The 20421-nt window shown below is 39.0% G+C and overlaps 2 protein-coding genes across 9 annotated transcripts in view; one reads left to right on the top strand and one right to left on the bottom strand.

Annotated features, from left to right (window-relative positions):
- Window positions 1-19113, top strand: part of LHCGR (luteinizing hormone/choriogonadotropin receptor) — a 68951-nt gene extending 49838 nt beyond the window's left edge. For 3 of the 8 annotated variants that reach the window (XM_047444291.1, NM_000233.4, XM_017004090.1), the window contains 3 exons: window positions 7087-7272; window positions 11583-11663; window positions 17038-19113. In XM_047444291.1, the coding sequence (XP_047300247.1) occupies window positions 7087-7272; window positions 11583-11663; window positions 17038-18190 (1420 nt within the window). In that variant the 3' untranslated portion in view covers window positions 18191-19113. Of the gene's footprint in view, window positions 1-7086; window positions 7273-7951; window positions 12640-17037 lie in introns of those variants that run through there. The other 5 variants (XM_047444293.1, XM_047444292.1, XM_011532834.3 and 2 more) reach the window with 4 other exon arrangements.
- Window positions 1-20421, bottom strand: part of STON1-GTF2A1L (STON1-GTF2A1L readthrough) — a 246595-nt gene that overhangs the window by 70633 nt on the left and 155541 nt on the right. The window lies entirely within an intron of this gene.

Here is a 20421-nt window from a genome sequence, read left to right as displayed (position 1 = left end):
GGGCTAAATGCCCCAAATAAAAGACACAGACTGGAAAATTGGATAACGAGTCAAGACCCATCAGTGTGCTGTATTCAGGAGACCCATCTCACATGCAAAGACACACATAGGCTCAAACTAAAGGGCTGGAGGATGATCTACCAAGCAAAGGGAAAGCAAAAAAAAAAAGCAGGGATTGCAATCCTAGTCTCTGATAAAATAGACTTTAAACCAACAAAGATCAAAAGAGACAAAGAAGGCCATTACATAATGGTAAAGGGATCAATTCAATAAGAAGAGCTAACTCTCCTAAATATATATGCACCCAACACAGGAGCATCCAGATTCATAAAGCCAGTTCTTAGAGAACTACGAAGAGACTTAGACTCCCACACAATAATAATGGGAGACTTTAACATCCAACTGTCAATACTAGGCAGATCAATGAGACACAAAATTAACAAGGATATCCAGGACTTGAACTCAGCTATGGACCAAGAAGACCTAATAGACATCTACAGAACTCTCCACCCCAAATCAGCAGAATATACATTCTTCTCAGCACCATATCGCATTTATTCTAAAACTGACCACATAATTGGAAATAAAACACTCCTCACCAAATGTAAAAGAACAGAAATCACAACAAACTGTCTCTCAGACCACAGTGCCATCAAATTAGAACTCAGGATTAAGAAACTCACTCAAAACCGCACAACTACATAGAAACTGAACAACCTGCTCCTGAATGACTACTGGGTACATAACGAAATGAAGGCAAAAATAAAAATGTTCTTTGAAACCAATGAGAACAAAGACATAATGTACCAGAATCTCTGGGACACATTTAAAGCAGTATGTAGAGGGAAATTTATAGCACTAAATGCCCACAAGGAAAGGCAGGAAAGATCTAAAATTGACACCCTAACATCACAATTAAAAGAACTAGAGAAGCAAGAGCAAACACATTCAAAAGCTAGCAGAAGGCAAGAAATAACTAGGATCAGAGCAGAACTGAAGGAGATAGAGAGACAAAAAACCCTTCAAAAAATCAATGAATCCAGGAGCTGGTTTTTTGAATAGATTAACAAAATAGATACACTGCTAGCAAGACTAATAAAGAAGAAAAGAGAGAAGAATCAAATAGACGCAATAAAAAATGATAAAGGGGATATTACCACTGATCCCACAGAAATACAAACTACCATCAGAGAATACTATAAACACCTCTATGCAAATAAACTAGAAAATCTAGAAGAAATGGATAAATTCCTGGACACATACACCCTCCCAAGACTAAACCAGGAAGAAGTCAAATCTCTGAATAGACCAATAACAGGTCCTGAAATTGAGGCAATAGTTAATAGCCTACCAACCAAAAAGAGTCCAGGACCAGGCAGATTCACAGCTGAATTCTACCAGAGGTACAAAGAGGAGCTGGTACCATTCCTTCTGAAACTATTCCAATCAATAGAAAGAGAGGGAATCCTCCCTAACTCATTCTATGAGGCCAGCATCATCCTGATACTAAACCTGGCAGAGTACACCACAAAAAGAGGGAATTTTAAGCCAATATCCCTGATGAACATCGATGCGAAAATCCTCCATAAAATACTGGCAAACCAAATCCAGCAGCACATGAAAAAGCTTATCCACCACAATCAAGTCGGCTTCATCCCTGGGATGCAACGCTGGTTCAACATATGCAAATCAATAAATGTAATCCATCACATAAACAGAACCAATGACAAAAAAACACATGATTATCTCAATAGATGCAGAAAAGGCCTTCGACAAAATTCAACAGTGCTTCATGCTAAAAACACTCAATAAACTAGGTATTTATGGAATGTATCTCAAAATAATAAGAGCTATCTATGACAAACCCACAGCCAATATCATACCAAATGGGCAAAAACTGGAAGCATTCCCTTTGAAAACTGGCACAAGACAAGGATGCCCTCTCTCACCACTCCTATTCAACATAGTATTGGAAGTTCTGGCCAGGGCAATCAGGCGAGAGAAGGAAATAAAGGGTATTCATTTAGGAAAAGAGGAAGTCAAATTGTCTCTGTTTGCAGATGACATCATTGTATATTTAGAAAACCCTATCGTCTCCGCCCAAAATCTCCTTAAGCTGATAAGCAACTTCAGCGAAGTCTTGGGATACAAGATCAATGTGCAAAAATCGCAAGCATTCCTATTCACCAATAAGAAATTAACGGAGAGCCAAATCATGAGTGAACTCCCATTCACAATTACTACAAAGAGAATAAAATACCTGGGAATCCAGCTTACAAAGGATATGAAGGACCTCTTCAAGGAGAACTACAAACCACTGCTCAACAAAATAAAAGAGGACACAAACAAATGGCATTCCCCATTTAATAAATGGTGTCAGGAAAACTCGCTAGCCATATGCAGAAAGCTGAAACTGGATCCCTTCCTTAAACCCTTATACAAAAATTAACTCAAGATGGATTAAAGACTTAAATGTAAGACCTAAAAACATAAAAACCTAGAAGAAAACCTAGGCATTACCGTTCAGGACATAGGCATGGGCAAAGACTACATGACTAAAACACCAAAAGCAATGGCAACAAAAGCCAAAATTGACAAATGAGATCTAATTAAACTAAAGAGCTTCTGCACAGCAAAAGAAACTATCAGCAGAGTAAACAGGCAACCTAGAGAATGGGAGAAAATTTTTGTAATCTATCCATCTTGACAAAGGGCTAATATCCAGAATCTACAAAGAACTTAAACAAATTTACAAGAAAAACACAAACAAACCCATCAAAAAATGGGCGAAGGATATGAACAGACACTTCTCAAAAGAAGACATTTGTTCAGCCAACAGACCTGTGAAAAAATCCTCATCATCACTGGTCATGAGAGAAATGCAAATCAAAACCACAATGAGATACCATCTCATGCCAGTTAGAATGGCAATCATTAAAAAGTCAGGACACAACAGATGCTGGAGAGGATGTGGAGGAATAGGAACACTTTTACACTGTTGGTGGGACTGTAAATTAGTTCAATCATTGTGGAGGACAGTGTGGTGATTCCTCAAGGATCTAGAACTAGAAATACCATTTGACCGAGCGATCCCATTACTGGGTATATACCCAAAGGATTGTACTATTAAAGGATCATGCTGCTATAAAGACACATGCACACGTATGTTTATTGCGGCACTATTCACAATAGCAAAGACTTGGAACCAACCCAAATGTCCATCAATAATAGACTGGATAAAGAAAATGTGGCACATATACACCATGAAATACTATGCAGCCATAAAAAAGGATAAGTTCATGTCCTTTGCAGGGACATGGATGAAGCTGGAAAGCATCATTCTCAACAAACTATCACAAGGACAGAAAACTAAACACCGCATGTTCTCACTCATAAGTGGGAGTTGATCAATGAGAACACATCGACACGGAGGGGGAACATCACACACCAGGGCCTGTCGGCGGGTGGGCAGCTGGGGGAGGGATAGCATTAGCAGAAATACCTAATGTAAATGACAAGTTGATGGGTGCAGCAAACCAACGTGGCATATGTATACCTATGTAACAAACCTGCACGTTTTGCACATGTACCCTAGAACTTAAAGTATTTAAAAAAAAAAAAAAGATACATGAGAAAGTTAGGAGGAATAGAACATTGAATCTGACAAAGCCTGAAACATCCAACATGAAACATCCAACATCCTGCAGAGAGCTGAAGCTGCAGTCAGGCTTCAGGGAGAAATGCAACAGAGTTCCAGATACTGTGCTGCTCTCACACACGGCGACCAGTTATCCCATCATAGAGGTGGCAGTCCACGACACCCTACTCTAGCAGATGTTATTTATTCAACAAACATTGATTGAACCTATCCTGTGTACCAGGCACCGTGGTGAACAGACAGTAGTAAGTAAAATAGCCCTGGTCCTTGCCCTTAGTGAGATGACAGTCACATAAGGGAGACAACAACAAACGCAAAGCAATAAACAGGCATGTCATTTTACAATGAGAAAAGTTCTAGAAAAATGGTGAGCAGGGTAACCCAGTTCATTTGTTTGTTTATTCATCCGTTTATTCACTAACTCTTATGAACCCATACTATGTGGTAGTCACTGGATTAGGCATCAGGGAAATGGCAGAGAATAAGAAGAGACAAACACTTCTGCCTTCATAGGATGGGGAAGACAGACAAGGATTGAATAAGTAAATAAAATATGTAGTTGTCCAAATGCTATTGGTTGTAGAGGAGAAAACTCATTTGGTTGGGGGGAAAGGAGTTCTGGAGAGGGGGAATTACTATTTTAAAGGGGATGGTGAGGGAAGACTATCCTGAAAAAGTGTCGTTTGAACGAACACCTAAAGGAACTAAGAGAGCAAGTTACGTGATTATCTGCAGGAAAAGTGTTCCAGGAGGGGGAACAGCAAAAGCAAAGGCCTGAGACAGAATCTTGCCTTGTGTATTTGAAGAACAGCAAGGAGGCCAATATGGCAGAGGGAGCAAAGAAGGGAATCACAGAATATAAGGACAGAGACGTGGCAGAGAGCTGGATCATGGCGGGGCCTGTGGTCACTTATATAGACTTTGTCTTTTTTTAATGAGATGGGGAGGCTTTGGGGTTTTGAGCAAGGGAAGGAAATGAGCTGTCCTTGTTATTCTTCGTACTGTAGATCCCGCCAAGATCAACTCATGGCTCTGTCTAATTTCTGTTTCCACCATTATAAAACCCAAAGTCTGTCTACTTCCTAGCTCCTGCCCCTCAGCCCCTCACTCTCTATTTCCTAACTCCTTCCTGCTATCCACTTTTGACTCTCTACTTCCCATTCCTGCCACTGTTGAGCCCTGACTGTGCTAGTTCCTAGCTCCCACTGTCAACTCCTGACTTCACCTATTTCCTAGCTCCTGCCACTGTCCAGTTCTCACTCTGTCTACTTCGTAAGTCCTGCCACTATCGACTTCTGACTCTACTTCCTAACTCCCACCACTAAAATTCCTAGATCTTTCTGCTTCCTAACTTCTGTCGTTGTCAATCCTAACTCCCTCTAATATCCACTCAACCCCATAACTTCTGTTTACTTATGACTTCCACTACCTTGTGGCTCCTGCCCACTGCTTTCTCTGCTCTCAACTTCTGGCAACCTTATCCTAGGGGTCTTTTTCTGCATGTCTCATATGCAAAGCATACCAGACTCCGAATCTTGTAAGTTGGCTGAATACTCTCCAGTTTAGCACATCCTGTAGGCAGAGCTGTTACAGCAAGCTGGCCATCTACTTGGTCACTAGGCAAACAAAGAGAGCTGCCTCTGGCTCAGGTGCAAAACACAACCAACCCACTGTGTTCCCAAGACTCCTGCATGACAGTATTTGCTTGAAGAGCTGCTTGGTTAGCTCCTTAGAAGTGACTGTGGGCACTACAGACCCCTACACTCTCATGTCCAAAACACTAGCACCAGACCTAGGTCTCTTCCTTCCCAAGGGGTTGTTCTCATTATACCCCTAGGACTTGAATCGTATCTAAAAGCATCCACTCCACCCTTACTCAAAAAGCATTTCTCCCACTAGTCTGTTACTAAGACTGAAAACCCACTATCAGAGGTTCACTGCCTTGTAACGAGGCCTTACTGTTTCTAAGAACCTAATTTTAAATGTACCCACTCAAAAGACAAACAAAAAAGCCACCAGATCTTCAAAGAGCTCAATCCCTAACATGTCTGAGATAAAAACCCTATAAAGCAGAATGAGAACCCTGGTTACCTAAATCAACAGGGACACAAAAGCAGGAAATTCTGAAGCCCCTGAGACAAATTTTGCTGCCTTAATTTTTCCACTGAGGGCCTACACCATCATCATTCCATGTTGTCAAGTTCATCTTCCATCTATCACCTATTGGTCCCCTCCCATGTGCTGAACACCAAGTCTTGGGAATGATTGCTGAGGGGAGCTGTGCTGCTTGGAAAAGTTTTGTGAGGCACCAGCAGCAGCCACTTAGAAGATAAGCAGAATTGTTTAATTCCCATTGACTCTTTTCTCCTAACACTTAATGTGTTTGGAATTTTCTTGGGCATTGCCTCAAGTCTAGTAAAACCAAAGAGTTCAGGACCTTGTTGACAAAGCCTGAGCTTTTCACACAGTTCAGCTTGCAAGGCTGAGTGTTCGCTTGCTTTGAACAGATGAATCATTAGAGAACATGCATTCTGCATTAGAGAATGCATTAGAGAACATGCATTAGAGAACATGCATTCTGCTTCCTAGGTAGATGATGGCTAATGCCACACAGAAGCTCTTAATAAGTAACCAGGCTGTGCTTCATGAAAACCTCTCCTGCAGGGCTTAATCAATCAAAGACTGAGGCATCTGAAGCCCTGAATAATTTCCCCTGGGGTAGAGCACAAAAGCTGATGTAACTGCATGTGCTGGCTGTCGCATAAAGCAAGTGGTTATTTCACTTCTGCTAAGTAGAGAGAAGTGGAGGAAGAGAGAGGGTGGGGAGGAAGAGAGAGGGTAGGGAAAAGGAGTTGGAAGAGGGGAGAGAGAGAGAAATGCTAATAAATGTATGGTAGGTGCAAGGAGTTATACTTAACCTTGAAAAGAATAATGAGGCGCACATGAGAAAAAATACAGACTCGCTTTTCTGAATTCAGATCTTAGTGAGAGTAATTGAAATGGAGAATTAAGGGGAAAGCAAGATGGAGAAAAGATTCCTCAGAGCCTATAATGATAATATTGTTGAGGGGAGGTTTCATTCTCTGAATAAAATGTATAAAATATGGCCGGGCGCAGTGGCTCATGCCTGTAATCCCAGCACTTTGAGGGGCCGAGGTGGGCGGATCACGAGGTCAGAAGATCGACACCATCCTGGCTAACACGGTGAAACCCCGGTCTCTTAGCCGGGCGTGGTAGCGGGCGCCTGTAGTCCCAGCGACTCGGGAGGCTGAGGCAGGAGAATGGCGTGAACCCAGGAGGCGGAGCTTGCAGTGAGCCGAGGTCGTGCCACTGCACTCCAGCCTGGGCGACGGAGCAAGACTCCGTCTCAAAAAAAAAAAATGTATAAAATAAATAAATAAAAAGCATTTCTCCCCTTTATTGTTCAGGGATATTTCTTCCACCAAATTGCAGGCCCTGCCGAGCTATGGCCTAGAGTCCATTCAGAGGCTAATTGCCACGTCATCCTATTCTCTAAAAAAATTGCCATCAAGAGAAACATTTGTCAATCTCCTGGAGGCCACGTTGACTTACCCCAGCCACTGCTGTGCTTTTAGAAACTTGCCAACAAAAGAGTAAGTAGAAACCAAAAGGTAAAGCCTACCCAAGCTGTGGCAGAAATTCAGATTTCAAAATAGTCAATGAGTAGACAGCTCCACTCCCCTTCACTCCCTACCTTCTTGGCCAGCTCCGTAGACATGGGGTCACTTTCAAATAGACAAGAAGAAAACAAACTGTTCTGTTTCCTTGTGGAAACTGCTACCAAATAGTTGATTCACCCTGCAGCTAGAAGACCTTTGTAGCCAATTCTGGGTAAACTGAATTAGAGGCCATTTTAGCATTTGCAGAATGGAGTACAAAACTGGCATCTCAAAGGATTTGTTCTAATCCTTATCAGAGAGCATCATTTTTTTAAGTGAAGGAAGAAGCCTCAGGAGGGCAAAATTTACCTAATGTTTAAATCTTTGATTTAAAAATGGACACAAAATATTACAGAAAGTTTTCAAAACTATTTCTCTCCTAGTAGACGAGCATCTTCTATTTCAGAACAGAATTACAGCTAAAGATAAGCTTAGCATGGGAACAGGAAGGGAAGGAGCTCCTGCATGGTTTGCATCCAGTAGTGGGTATCTGATTCCGTTCAGTCCAGGGTGGGGGACACGGTGGCAGAATTTCGTTCTTTCCTCAGAGCACTGTTTTCCAGACTTTTTTGACTGAGATGCACAGTAACAAATACTTTGGTATTGCAACCCAGTACATGTCACATATGTAACAGAAATAAAGCTGAGTGATACTTAACTTTTTAATATGTAATATGCTGATATTTTCTTATTTTACTCTATTTTATTTTATGCTTTTTTTATTTTTAATGCCAGTCTTGATGCACTCTATTGCTTTCATGACCCACCAATGGGTCACACAACTCACAGTTGGAACAACACTGCCCTAAAGGGTTATTATTGCAGCCTAAGGAGATAGGATCCATTCAATTACTTAGATAAGGCACTGAGAGAGTGACACCAGATGCTGCTGTCTTTGTTTGGAATCAACCAAAATGAATTATTTATAATTAATCAACCAGTATGCATTATTTGTACCTTGCATATAGGAGGTTCAGCTCCACCTGAGGCTTTTTGGGTAGCTGAGAAGACAAAACACTTGCTGTATTCACAGAGTCATGTGCCATTAACTGATCTTCCAAAACATTAACTGAGCACTTACTATGTTTCAAATACTGTGTGAAAGCCTGAGGTTACAAAGATAAGTCACAGACAGCTGTATGGGAGCAACACACAAGAGAGCCAATATTTAAGTCCAACACGGCAAATGTTATGACAGATCTGAGAACAGAGCAGAGTGTTCTGGGAGCACTGAACAAGAGTTTGTTAATGGCAGCAGGGATTATGGAAGGCTTCCTGAGGGAAGTGATTTATGCTGAGTCTTGAAGAACAGGCAGGAGTTGTCTAGACAGAGTGAGAAAAAGCAAAGAAGATAGAATAGCTCATGTGAAGACAAAAAGGCAAGAGACAGTAGATGAAACTCACTCAGAAAAATTGAAACATGGACACATGGAAGAAGATGAGTCAGAAGAGGAAGCCAAGGAGATGTGGGCCATGATGGTCTGAGTGCCAGGCCCGGTTGTTTAGAGGATGGGGAGCCATGAAGACTTTTAAGCAAGATGACTCAAATTTGCTTTTATAAAATACCACTTTGCAGCAAGGTAGAGGATGGTTTGGGGGTGAGCAAAGCTGGTGAGAGAACAATTAGGAAAATGACAGAGATACTGGTTTATGATAGAGCTGATTCTGGATACCCACATTTTTTGGCAAAGAAATCACACCCCTTCTGAAATCACTGGCATGTGAAAATTTTAGTTCAGGGATTTTTATTCCAGTAGGTGAAAGAGACAAAGTATTCCTGCAAGGAATTGTCTCATAAGTATTGTAGAAGAATAATACATAGAAATGTCCAATTTGAATTGCCTCATTTATCCTTCCTCATCAGTAAAAGTTGAGGCCCTCACAGCCTGCTCTCTTTTCCCATTTTTCTTTTTTCTTGGCGGGGGCAGGGAGGAGGTGTGGCTTATTTTCATTTATTGACCTGACTAATGGGTACGTAGGTGATCATTCTGTGAGAAATCATTGAGCTATACATTCATGTTTTACCTGCTTTCTGTGTGTTACAATTCAATTTTCTGATGTTTTACAAATTGCTATTACAATATAAGTCTATTTGAAACTTATGAAAAGGAAAATAGGCAAATGTCACATATCTTTTCTGGTTGCGGCCTTGCACCCTACTGCCCTCAGGGAAACTTGATCTGACTTCACCAAGCAACCTTTTGGAAGTAGTCCCTTCTGAGCCTGTCCTTTTCCATAATGTCCAAATTCTTAATGAATGCAGTTGATAAACCTTGTAATAATGTGTCAACAGCATGATACTTCTTTCATAGAATATGCATGAACTGTGTAGAAACAATGCATTGTCTCATCAGAGAAGATGCAAATTTCATTCTCTATGAAAACAAAGATGGACTGTCATGAGAATGCCATCAGGGCACTGAATATGAGGAGAGAAGAAATAAGAGACAATCAGGGGCATTTGTAATTATGAAGAAACCACTGTTTTTTTTTTTCTGTAGACCTCCTCTGTGGACAACCACTATTTTTTTGATTCAACTTTTATTTTAGATACAGGGGGTACATGTACCAGTTTGTTACATGAGTATATTGCATCCAGGAAGTGAGCATAATACTCGATAGATAGTTTTCAACCCATGCCTCCCTCCTTCCCTGACCCCTCTAGTATTCTGCAGTGCCTGTTCATATGTTCCCAGTTATGTTCATATGTTCCCAGTGTTTAGCTCCCTCTTTTAAGTGAGAAGATGCAGTATTTGGTTTTTTAATCTTGAATAAATTTACTTAAGATTATGGCTTCCAGCTCCATCCATGTTACTGCAAAAGACATGATTTTTTATGGCTGCATAGAATTACATTGTATATATGTACCACATTTTCTTTATCCAATCCAGGCACCCAGGTTGATTCTATGTCTTTGTTTTTGTGAATAGCATAGCAATGACCATATAAGTGCACATGTCTTTTTGGTGTAATGATCTATTTCATTGGGTATATACCGAGTAATGAGATTGCTGAGTTGAATAGTAGCTCTGTTTTAAGTTCTTTTAGAAATCTCCAAACTGATTTCCACAGTGGATGAACTAATTTACACTCCCACCAACAGTGTATGAGAATTCCCTTTTCTCAGACTGTAAAAGTCCTAAATGAAAACCTAGGAAATACCCTTCTTGACATCAGCCTTGGCAAAGAATTTTTAGCTAAGTCCTCAAAAGCAATTGCAACAAAAACATAAATTGATGAGTGGGACCTAATTAGACTACAGAGCTTCCACACGGCAAAAGAAACTATCAACAGAGTAAACAGACAACCTACAGGATGGGAAACAATATTCACAAACTATGCATTTGACAAAGGTCTAATATCCAGAATCTATAATGAAATTAAATGCATCAACAAGCAAAAAAATAAATAATCCCATTAAAAAATGGGCAAAGGGCATGAATAGAACAGCATTTTTTCATATGCTTATTGGCTGCTTGTATGTCTTCTAAAGAAAAAATGCTCATCATCACTAATCATCAGAGAAATGCAAATCAAAACCACAATGAGAAAAACAACAGATGCTGGCAAGGCTGTGGAAGAAAAGGGAATGCTTATACCCTATTTCTTTATTCATTTGTATCTCCCTTAAATTTCATCTCTAGGTAAGTGCTCCCCCAGGTGAGAACAGGCCTCATTTTATTTTATTGGTATTTCTCTTCTTTCCACAGGCTAAACTTCTTAGAGGGAAAGATGGAGGAGTAGGGAGCACCCACGTATGTTTCTGCACATAAGAAAAAATAACCTGAAATTCACATCATAATGTCAGGTCCAGCATCTTCAAATCCTTACAAAAAAGATGCCCAGTTACAATTCAAAACCATGAACACAGAATGACTATTTGTTAAGGCCAATGTGGAAAGGAGAGTGGTAAGGAGCAAACCTTAATATATCATAAAAGTAGCTTTTAGTAATCATTGGAAAATCCTTGATTCAATATGACAAATTTAAGTTTTTTCATCTCTAGTGCCCACACAAAATGCTTAGTATTCAGAAGCATTTTATCTAAGCTGGAAGCACTCTAATGACAATTCAGAAGCCTTTACTCTCTCCTCAGGAAGCATTTCAGTTAGGACAATGGTGCAGAACGAGATGCTGGTGTAATAGGTAAAGAATTTGCATGAACAAAGCATAAATAGACGCACAGTCAGGTTTAGCCTGAAGTCCAAAAGCTCAAATGCTTTTTTTAACCTCTTCTCTTTCAGACAGAATTTTTCACATTCCATTTCTGAAAACTTTTCCAAACAATGTGAAAGCACAGTAAGGAAAGTGAATAACAAAACACTGTAAGTATTTGCATGCAAGGAAACTCAGAAGTCGTATCTTGTTCTGTGTGCACCTTATTATCAGCATCAATTATTTTCTTTTGATACAAGTCTTGGTTACGGAGCTGTTGCAAAGCAACTTTTAATAGTTTTAAAATGGGAATTTTTTCTTTGCAATTGGCATCAAGTTGATCAGGTATGTCTTTCAACTGTTTAAAAAAACTATTTTAAAATGTTCCTTAATATTTATTCTACAATTGTATTAAAGCCTCCTCAAAAATTAAAATTTTGCAGGTATGTTGATGTCACCAAAGGCTGATACAACTGATACCTTCATTTGTAAGAATTTTCCCTAGTCACATGGTCAACATTCCACAAAGATTAACTAATTGCAAACGTAGCTTAAAAGTAGCCACTTCCCTTAAAGGAGACTTAGGCTACCTCGACAACTATGCTCCTGAGCTTAAAATGAGTCTTAATGCTATCGCTACCACATACACTGGATGGAAGCTACATCTCTGTTTTACTGACTAACTTTTAACACTTTTCTGCTATAAATGCTGGCTGCCTTGGCATTTCACTTATCTTCAACTGTAAAAGAGCATGCCTCAAAAGATAATCCCAGTGTCCCTATGGCACATTTACTAAGATTTAGAAGTTTTATTATGCCCCCATGAGTCCTCCAGACTACAAAACTAGATGTCCCTCTAAGATACTTTGCCAATCTCTTTCTGAAATTTTCTCTTCTTTTCTTTTCCTATCAATCTCCAAGTTAGACAGATGCTTCAGGTTGGTACGGTGGAATGACCCTGGACTTTGGGGTTCCATTCCAAGTATATGAATCTTTGGAAGTAACCTTCCTGTAACAGAGTATCGCTGGCAAAATTTATCCCTTTTGAGACCTTTCTCCTCATCTGTAAGGAACAGCAGAAATACCATTTGGCTTTCAGAACCATGAGAATGAAGGAAGTTGCTAAGCAATGCGACAACACCAAGGGTAAATAAGTATTACTGTCTCTTCTTTTCCTTTTCTCGCAGTAGGTCTGGCACCCATATCCTCCAGTGGCCTTTTCTTCACCCTTCCCTCTCTTCTTGCTCAGTATTCTATCAGCAACCTTCTGTGTAACTCTTTTGCAACCACATGACTTTATTCTTATCATCAAGAAAACATTTATGGATATAGTTAATAATAGCACCAAGGAGTGGTTTGAGGGGAAGGAAGACTTTAAACCATCCTCAATATAATCCTCACCAGTCCTCACCATAAACCTTCTCAAATGAGCATATACAACCTTAAGTTTGCTATGCTATCACTGCTTTAAGACAAGTCCCTAATCTCTAGCATCTCCAAAACTAACTGAAATTAACATAAAATCTAAGTAAAAAGAGCATTCTTCTTGTGAAAGCATTTTATGATAAATCTCCTACCTCCTACTTCCCACCAGATAGCCATTCCTCAGTCCCTAGAGTTTAGAAATTCTAGAGCCAGCCACTAAGGCTTACGTATTCTCCCCAAGATAATGTGTCCTTACCTCTATGGTTGGCCCTATTGTCCTCCTAAAATTCCCATCTTTTCTCCTTTCTTTCTTGTGACTGGAGCAGCGGTGCTACAGCTCTCCTTCCTCTGATTCAATATTACTAAGCCCATGTGAGTCCATTCATACTCCCCACATAGCCTCTAATACTAAAGACAGCTCTGTGCTGGGCTTTGTCAATAAGCATGATGCTGCCCTCAGGAGCCATCCCAGGACACAAATACCAGTAACAGCAGGTGGGCATTTAGTCCAAAGATAAATCACCAGGGAGAAAAATTGCTAGACATATGCCCAGAAGGGCAAAAAAAGAAAGGACAAAGGACCAGACAGCGAGAGGAAGTGAGAAAACATGTTTGACCTCTTGTTGATATAAATTTAACCAGAAATCATGGCAGAATTTTTAGAAGTTTTACAATAGTGCTTCTAACAGCTGAAGTAGTTTTGATAAGGGGAAAGGAGTAAAGGAAATCAGGAATAGCTGGACTGTTTTCATCTAATTTAACAAAGGCTATTATTTTGTATGAATCATCCAGAGAACTTACTTAAAATGCAAATTCTTGGGCGGTGTCTCTATAGATTTTTTATTCAGGGTTTGGGGTAAAGCCAGGGGTCTGCATTTTAACAAACACCATGGTGATTCTGATGGAGCTGATCCAAGGACCACACTTTGAAAAACAATGAGAGAGAGTGAAGTTAGGGGAAAGGTCTCTGAACTGTGATTATGAAGACCTCATGCTGCCACTGTCACTATCCCCAAGAGACCTTGGACAAGTCACTTACCTCCTTTAATCTTGGTTTCGTTACCAATAAAATGAAAGGATTCAATCAGATGGCCTTTAAAACCCTTTTTTTTTTTTTTTTTTTGAGACAGAATCTCAGTCTGTCACTTAGGTTGGAGTGCAGTGGCACGATCTCAGCTCACTGCAACCTCCACCTCCCGAGTTCAAGCGATTCTCCTGCCTCAACCTCCCAAGTAGCTGGGATTACAGGGGCATACCACCACGCCTGGCTAATTTTTGTATTTTTAGTAGAGACAGGGTTTTGCCATATTGGCCAGGCTGGTCTCAAACTCCTGACCTCAGGTGATCTGCCAGCCTCAGCCTCCTAAAGTGCTGGGATTACAGGCATGAGCCACCGCGCCCGGCCTTAAAACCTTTCTAATGCTAAGAAATTTATGATCTATTTTCTTTAATAGTTCTTTATAACCATCTCCTCCCTTTAAAGATTAAAAAATGATAATTATATTGATGTCTGTGAGAAGAGGACAAACAAATGTGCTGGTTATAACAATATTTAATAATAAAACACGAGAGGTTCCTATGCGGTCTTCTGTACATAGCAGCAGCCCTTCTCTAGTTCCAAACTGGGCTCCACAATACTCTAACATATTTTCTTTTTAAAAATCTGTGTTCTTTCCCTTCAGTATTGTATTCTTCCAATTTATTATCTCCTCCACTCACTGAACTAGGTATGCACTTAAAATACAAAACATGGGAAGTTAGCTTTCGAAAGCAGAGAAAAATATGCTTTTAATAATATGTAGGAACCATAAGGCTCCTCATGTATTATACAAAAATGTATTATAAATACATATATGTAATGGCCTTGACACAAAAATTATGCCCATTTCTCCAGTTCCTAAGATTGTATTAGCAGAAGATGGGTAAAAACAAAAATGTTTGTTGAGCCTACATGCATCATGCTGTGTGCTCATTGTCCCTGTATCCTCTCAGTTCCTTTCAGAGCTAGAATCATCCTGGTTTAGAATTATTCACTCTACAAACATGTATTGAATGAACACTCTGAGCCAAAACTGTGCTAGGCACTGGGATTTCAGAAATAAGTAAAACCTAGTCCTCTGTTTTCAAGAAGTGATTAGACAATTAAAGAAGATAGACATGCATCATCACTTAATTGCAATAGGTTTTGATAATTGCAATTGTATTAAGTGCAGCTCTGGCAGGAGGATAAATAATACTTGGGTACTATAATCAAGAAAGCCTTCATAGAAGAGCTTATCTTTACAGATGAGGAGGAATTCACCAGAGAGATGAGGAAAAGAAGAAAATTCTAGGCAGAAGTACGTACAAAGACAGAGGAGTGAAACAGTAGAACTTATTCAGAGAACTACGAGTCATTTTATGTGACCAAAGGGAAGGTTGCCCAAGGGATCTGCAAGAGCTAATTTTAAGAATCCCTAATATTGATTGCTTCAAGAATTATTCTAAACATTCTACATGTATGAATGCATTCAACTCTTAGCACAACTCTAACATAGAAGGTATGATTATTATCCCTACTTGGCAAATAAAGAACTTGAGGCACACGGATATTAATTAACTCTCCTGGGATTACACAGCCTGTACGAGCCATGCTAGGAATGGATCCTGGCAATCTTGCTCCAGAGCCCATTCTCTGAATTCTGCAGCACTACTGCTTCTTAGAGATGAGGTTGGAGAGATAGGCAGAACCCAGACCAAGGAGGGCCTTGGAAGTCATCACAATGAGTTTGGATTTTATCTCATAGCCAGTAAGAGCCTGGGGCAGGTTTGAATTCGATAAGTGAAATTAGTAACTTTGTATTTGGGAAAGGCCATTCTAGAAGGAACATACAGAATGGACTAGGGAGAGAGCTAAAATTGGAGAAAGGATATCAGGAAGAAAACTAATTGCTCCATAAGAGAGGACAAAAACCTGGGCCGGGCGTGGTGGCTCATGCCTGTAATGCCAGCACTTTGGAGGCCGAGGCGGGCAGATCACGAGGTCAGGAGATGGAGACCAACCTGGCCAACACGGTGAAACCCCGTTTCTACTAAAAATGCAAAAAATTAGCTGGGTGCGGTGGCATGCGCCTGTAGTCCCAGCTACTCAGGAGGCTGAGGCAGGGGAATCGTTTGAACCTGGGAGGCAGAGGTTGCAGTGAGCCAAGATTGTGCCACTGCACTCCAGCCTGGTGACAGAGCAAGACTCCGTCTCAAAAAAAAAAGAGAGAGAGAGGAAAAGACCCTAAACTCAGGAAGTATCAGTGGGGTTGGAAAGGAGTGGCAAAGGAAGGACTGTTCTTTCACTAGGGACAAAGTACCTCTTAAGCCTCCCTCTGTCTTTGACTCATACCCCTAAAGAGCAATGTTTTCACCATCTCTTCCTATTGTCCACAACTATATTCTTCCTCTGCTCCTAAATTTCTAATAATCTATCCTTGGTTTCTATTTCTCTGTTGGACTATTTGATTAGCTAGGGACTTAAGTGCAAACAAGTCCACCAGTAGCTAATGACTTTCAACAACATGAGCCTTCCAATTCCATTTGTGTTCTACTACATACGAACAGCTTGGTAGCAGTTTGGTTGGCAACTAAATGAGAGATAAATAGTTAAGAAAATGCCAAGAAAGGATTATTTTAGATTTACCAAGCATAGATTGTCTTTCTAAACTTGTTTTCCAAAGAAAGTCATCCTTTGTAAAGAGCTTCATTAAGTTTTTGTATCAATGTTATATATATATGTATGTATGTATAGTATATATATGTGTGTATATATGTATATATGTGTGTATATATGTATATGTGTGTACATATGTATATATGTGTATATATGTATATATGTGTATATATGTATATATATGTGTGTATATATGTGTGTATATATGTGTGTGTATATATAGTCTAAATGGCTTTTCATTCCCTTCTTAAGGTACTCCTACATCAAATCAGAGTTCTCAAATAATTTAACAAATAAATGTAAGGCTGAGGCTATTATGGCTTTGTTTCCTTTTGTTTCTTTGCCTTTAAAGAAACATAATTCTTGAATTTTTTAATACTCAGAGAAAATCCCTTACCTCAAGCCAATAATTCTTCTTACAGTTATTCTTCCATGCTTGCTGAGAGTGAACTGAGTGGCTGGGACTATGAATATGGTTTCTGCTTACCCAAGACACCCCGATGTGCTCCTGAACCAGATGCTTTTAATCCCTGTGAAGATATTATGGGCTATGACTTCCTTAGGGTCCTGATTTGGCTGATTAATATTCTAGCCATCATGGGAAACATGACTGTTCTTTTTGTTCTCCTGACAAGTCGTTACAAACTTACAGTGCCTCGTTTTCTCATGTGCAATCTCTCCTTTGCAGACTTTTGCATGGGGCTCTATCTGCTGCTCATAGCCTCAGTTGATTCCCAAACCAAGGGCCAGTACTATAACCATGCCATAGACTGGCAGACAGGGAGTGGGTGCAGCACTGCTGGCTTTTTCACTGTATTCGCAAGTGAACTTTCTGTCTACACCCTCACCGTCATCACTCTAGAAAGATGGCACACCATCACCTATGCTATTCACCTGGACCAAAAGCTGCGATTAAGACATGCCATTCTGATTATGCTTGGAGGATGGCTCTTTTCTTCTCTAATTGCTATGTTGCCCCTTGTCGGTGTCAGCAATTACATGAAGGTCAGTATTTGCTTCCCCATGGATGTGGAAACCACTCTCTCACAAGTCTATATATTAACCATCCTGATTCTCAATGTGGTGGCCTTCTTCATAATTTGTGCTTGCTACATTAAAATTTATTTTGCAGTTCGAAACCCAGAATTAATGGCTACCAATAAAGATACAAAGATTGCTAAGAAAATGGCAATCCTCATCTTCACCGATTTCACCTGCATGGCACCTATCTCTTTTTTTGCCATCTCAGCTGCCTTCAAAGTACCTCTTATCACAGTAACCAACTCTAAAGTTTTACTGGTTCTTTTTTATCCCATCAATTCTTGTGCCAATCCATTTCTGTATGCAATATTCACTAAGACATTCCAAAGAGATTTCTTTCTTTTGCTGAGCAAATTTGGCTGCTGTAAACGTCGGGCTGAACTTTATAGAAGGAAAGATTTTTCAGCTTACACCTCCAACTGCAAAAATGGCTTCACTGGATCAAATAAGCCTTCTCAATCCACCTTGAAGTTGTCCACATTGCACTGTCAAGGTACAGCTCTCCTAGACAAGACTCGCTACACAGAGTGTTAACTGTTACATCAGTAACTGCATTATTGAATTGTTCTTAAACCTGTAAAAAAAAATTACCTGTACCAGTAATTTTAACATAAAGGGTTGGATTTAGGAAATTATTTATTTTTAGGTACATTAGGCAAGAGACCTCTACCTAGTAGAAAGTGTAGTCTATGACCACTGCCACACTAAAAACTATTTGTCATTGTTACATGGCATAAATACTGAAGTTGAGAGTGTTTAGAAATTTTTATAGAAATTTTGACACAGTAATTTTGTTTGATGAATCTTTTAAAAAACTGAGGAGGTATTTTGCATATCTTTTTTTTCATTTTCGTAATTTGTATTGCATTCTATAAAAATATTAGTTCATAACAGATCAGAAATTTAAAATAACTGGCCTTTTTCCTCAGGTAGTTTGAAAAACACACTCTAGAGATGCACTGTCCAATCCGGTAGCCACTAGCCACATGTGGCTAAATTAAAATTAAATAAAATGAGAAATGTAGTTTCTCAGTTGCACTAGCCACGTTTCAAGTTCTCAATGGCTACGTGTGACTAGTGCTTACCATACTGGACAGCACAGACACAGAATATTTTCATCACCACAGAAAGTTCTATCTGTTCTATTATAGAGACTTTTATCTATGCCCTATCTGGATTCTACTTATTTATAATTTAAGGTAAACATCTGAAAGCACATTTCAGCCTATTTGCTTAGTGAAACATTAAGCTGTAGACTGTAAACTCCTCGTGAGTAGGAACCCTGTCTCAGTGCATTTTGTTTTCCTGCTTCCTACCTCAAGATCTTGGCAATGGTACACTACAAATGTGCTGAGTTAGAATTACTCTGAAGTTATGAAACATATAATGAAAACAATTTTTTCTAGAGCTTATATTTTTATTTGAATGAAATAAAATGTTTAAATATTTAAAAATAATTAAGTTTCATCATTTCTATCCTTTGGAGAGTATAGGAAAAGACATTCAATATTTGCTGGAAGATATTTTTACTTACTAGAATTGTCTCTTATAGGACAACAAAACTATGGTTTTAACTACAGTGTTTTTTATATGCTCCTTTGACTTTTTTAAAGTAACTCTTATTGAAAGCTAATTCTATACCAAACATCTTGAAAAACGTTATATAATTTAACCCATTTAATCTTCATAAAACTCTATGATGTAGATACTATTCACATTTTATAGGAGAGCAAAACCTACAATTTGTCAAAGTTCTCAAAACGAATAAAAGATCCAACTAATAGAATTTAAACTCAAAGCTCTGATTCAGGACCCCAGCCTCTTAATCACTGTATTTTACTGACTCCCATATTGGTAAAACAGTCATCTAAAGGTTTAATATGCATTCAAAGTTCCTTAAATTTTCCCCAACGTTTTATTATCTTTTCAAATGTGCAGAAAAATTGAAAGAATTGTGCAGTGAACACCCATAGAGCACCACTTAGGTTCAACAATATTTTACCACATTAGCTTCATTACATATGTATATAATTATTCATTATTTATCAATTCATCTTATTTTTGATGCATTTCAGAGTAATTTGTAGACATCAGTACTTAGCCCTAAACATTTTGGCACTTTTATTACTAACCAAGATATTTACATTTCTAGATAAAATTTATATATAATGAAATGGACGAATCTTAAGCATACCATTTAATGAGTTTTGAGAAATGCATACACCATGTGACCCAAACTTCTGACCCAAACTTCTATCAAGGCATAGTAATATAATATCATCACCCTCAGAAAGTTCCCTCATGCCCCTTCCCAGTTAATTCCTGACCCCCAGCCCCACAGGGAAGGATGGTTTTTTATTTTTCTCCCACCAATTAGTTTGTCTGTTCTAGAACTTCATATAAACAGAATCATATAGTATATACTCTTTTGTATAAGGCTTGACTCAACCCAATGTGTTTGCTACTTATCCATGTTACTGCTTGAATATTGCTGATTAATATTACATTGTATGAATAGAATATTGTTTCTATTCTTCTATTAATGAATATCTGTGTTATTTCCAATTTTTAGCTTTGAGATTTTATTATATAAATGTATAGACATAACTAGACACTCTACACATCCAATCTGTTTTCAATCCTTATGCCACTGTGCAAAGTGATTCAAAGAGATCATAACATTATAAATTTTATAAAATCTGTTCTCTGTACTGTGTTTTTCACATTTCTGATTTTTCTGCTGCATAACAAGTTACTTGTCTTTA

Source organism: Homo sapiens, chromosome 2 (genome assembly GCF_000001405.40).
Source record: "Homo sapiens chromosome 2, GRCh38.p14 Primary Assembly".
In the NCBI taxonomy this organism is placed as follows: Eukaryota; Metazoa; Chordata; class Mammalia; order Primates; family Hominidae; genus Homo; species Homo sapiens.
Note: the sequence above shows the minus strand (reverse complement) of the source record. Positions and strands in the feature narration are given on the sequence as shown.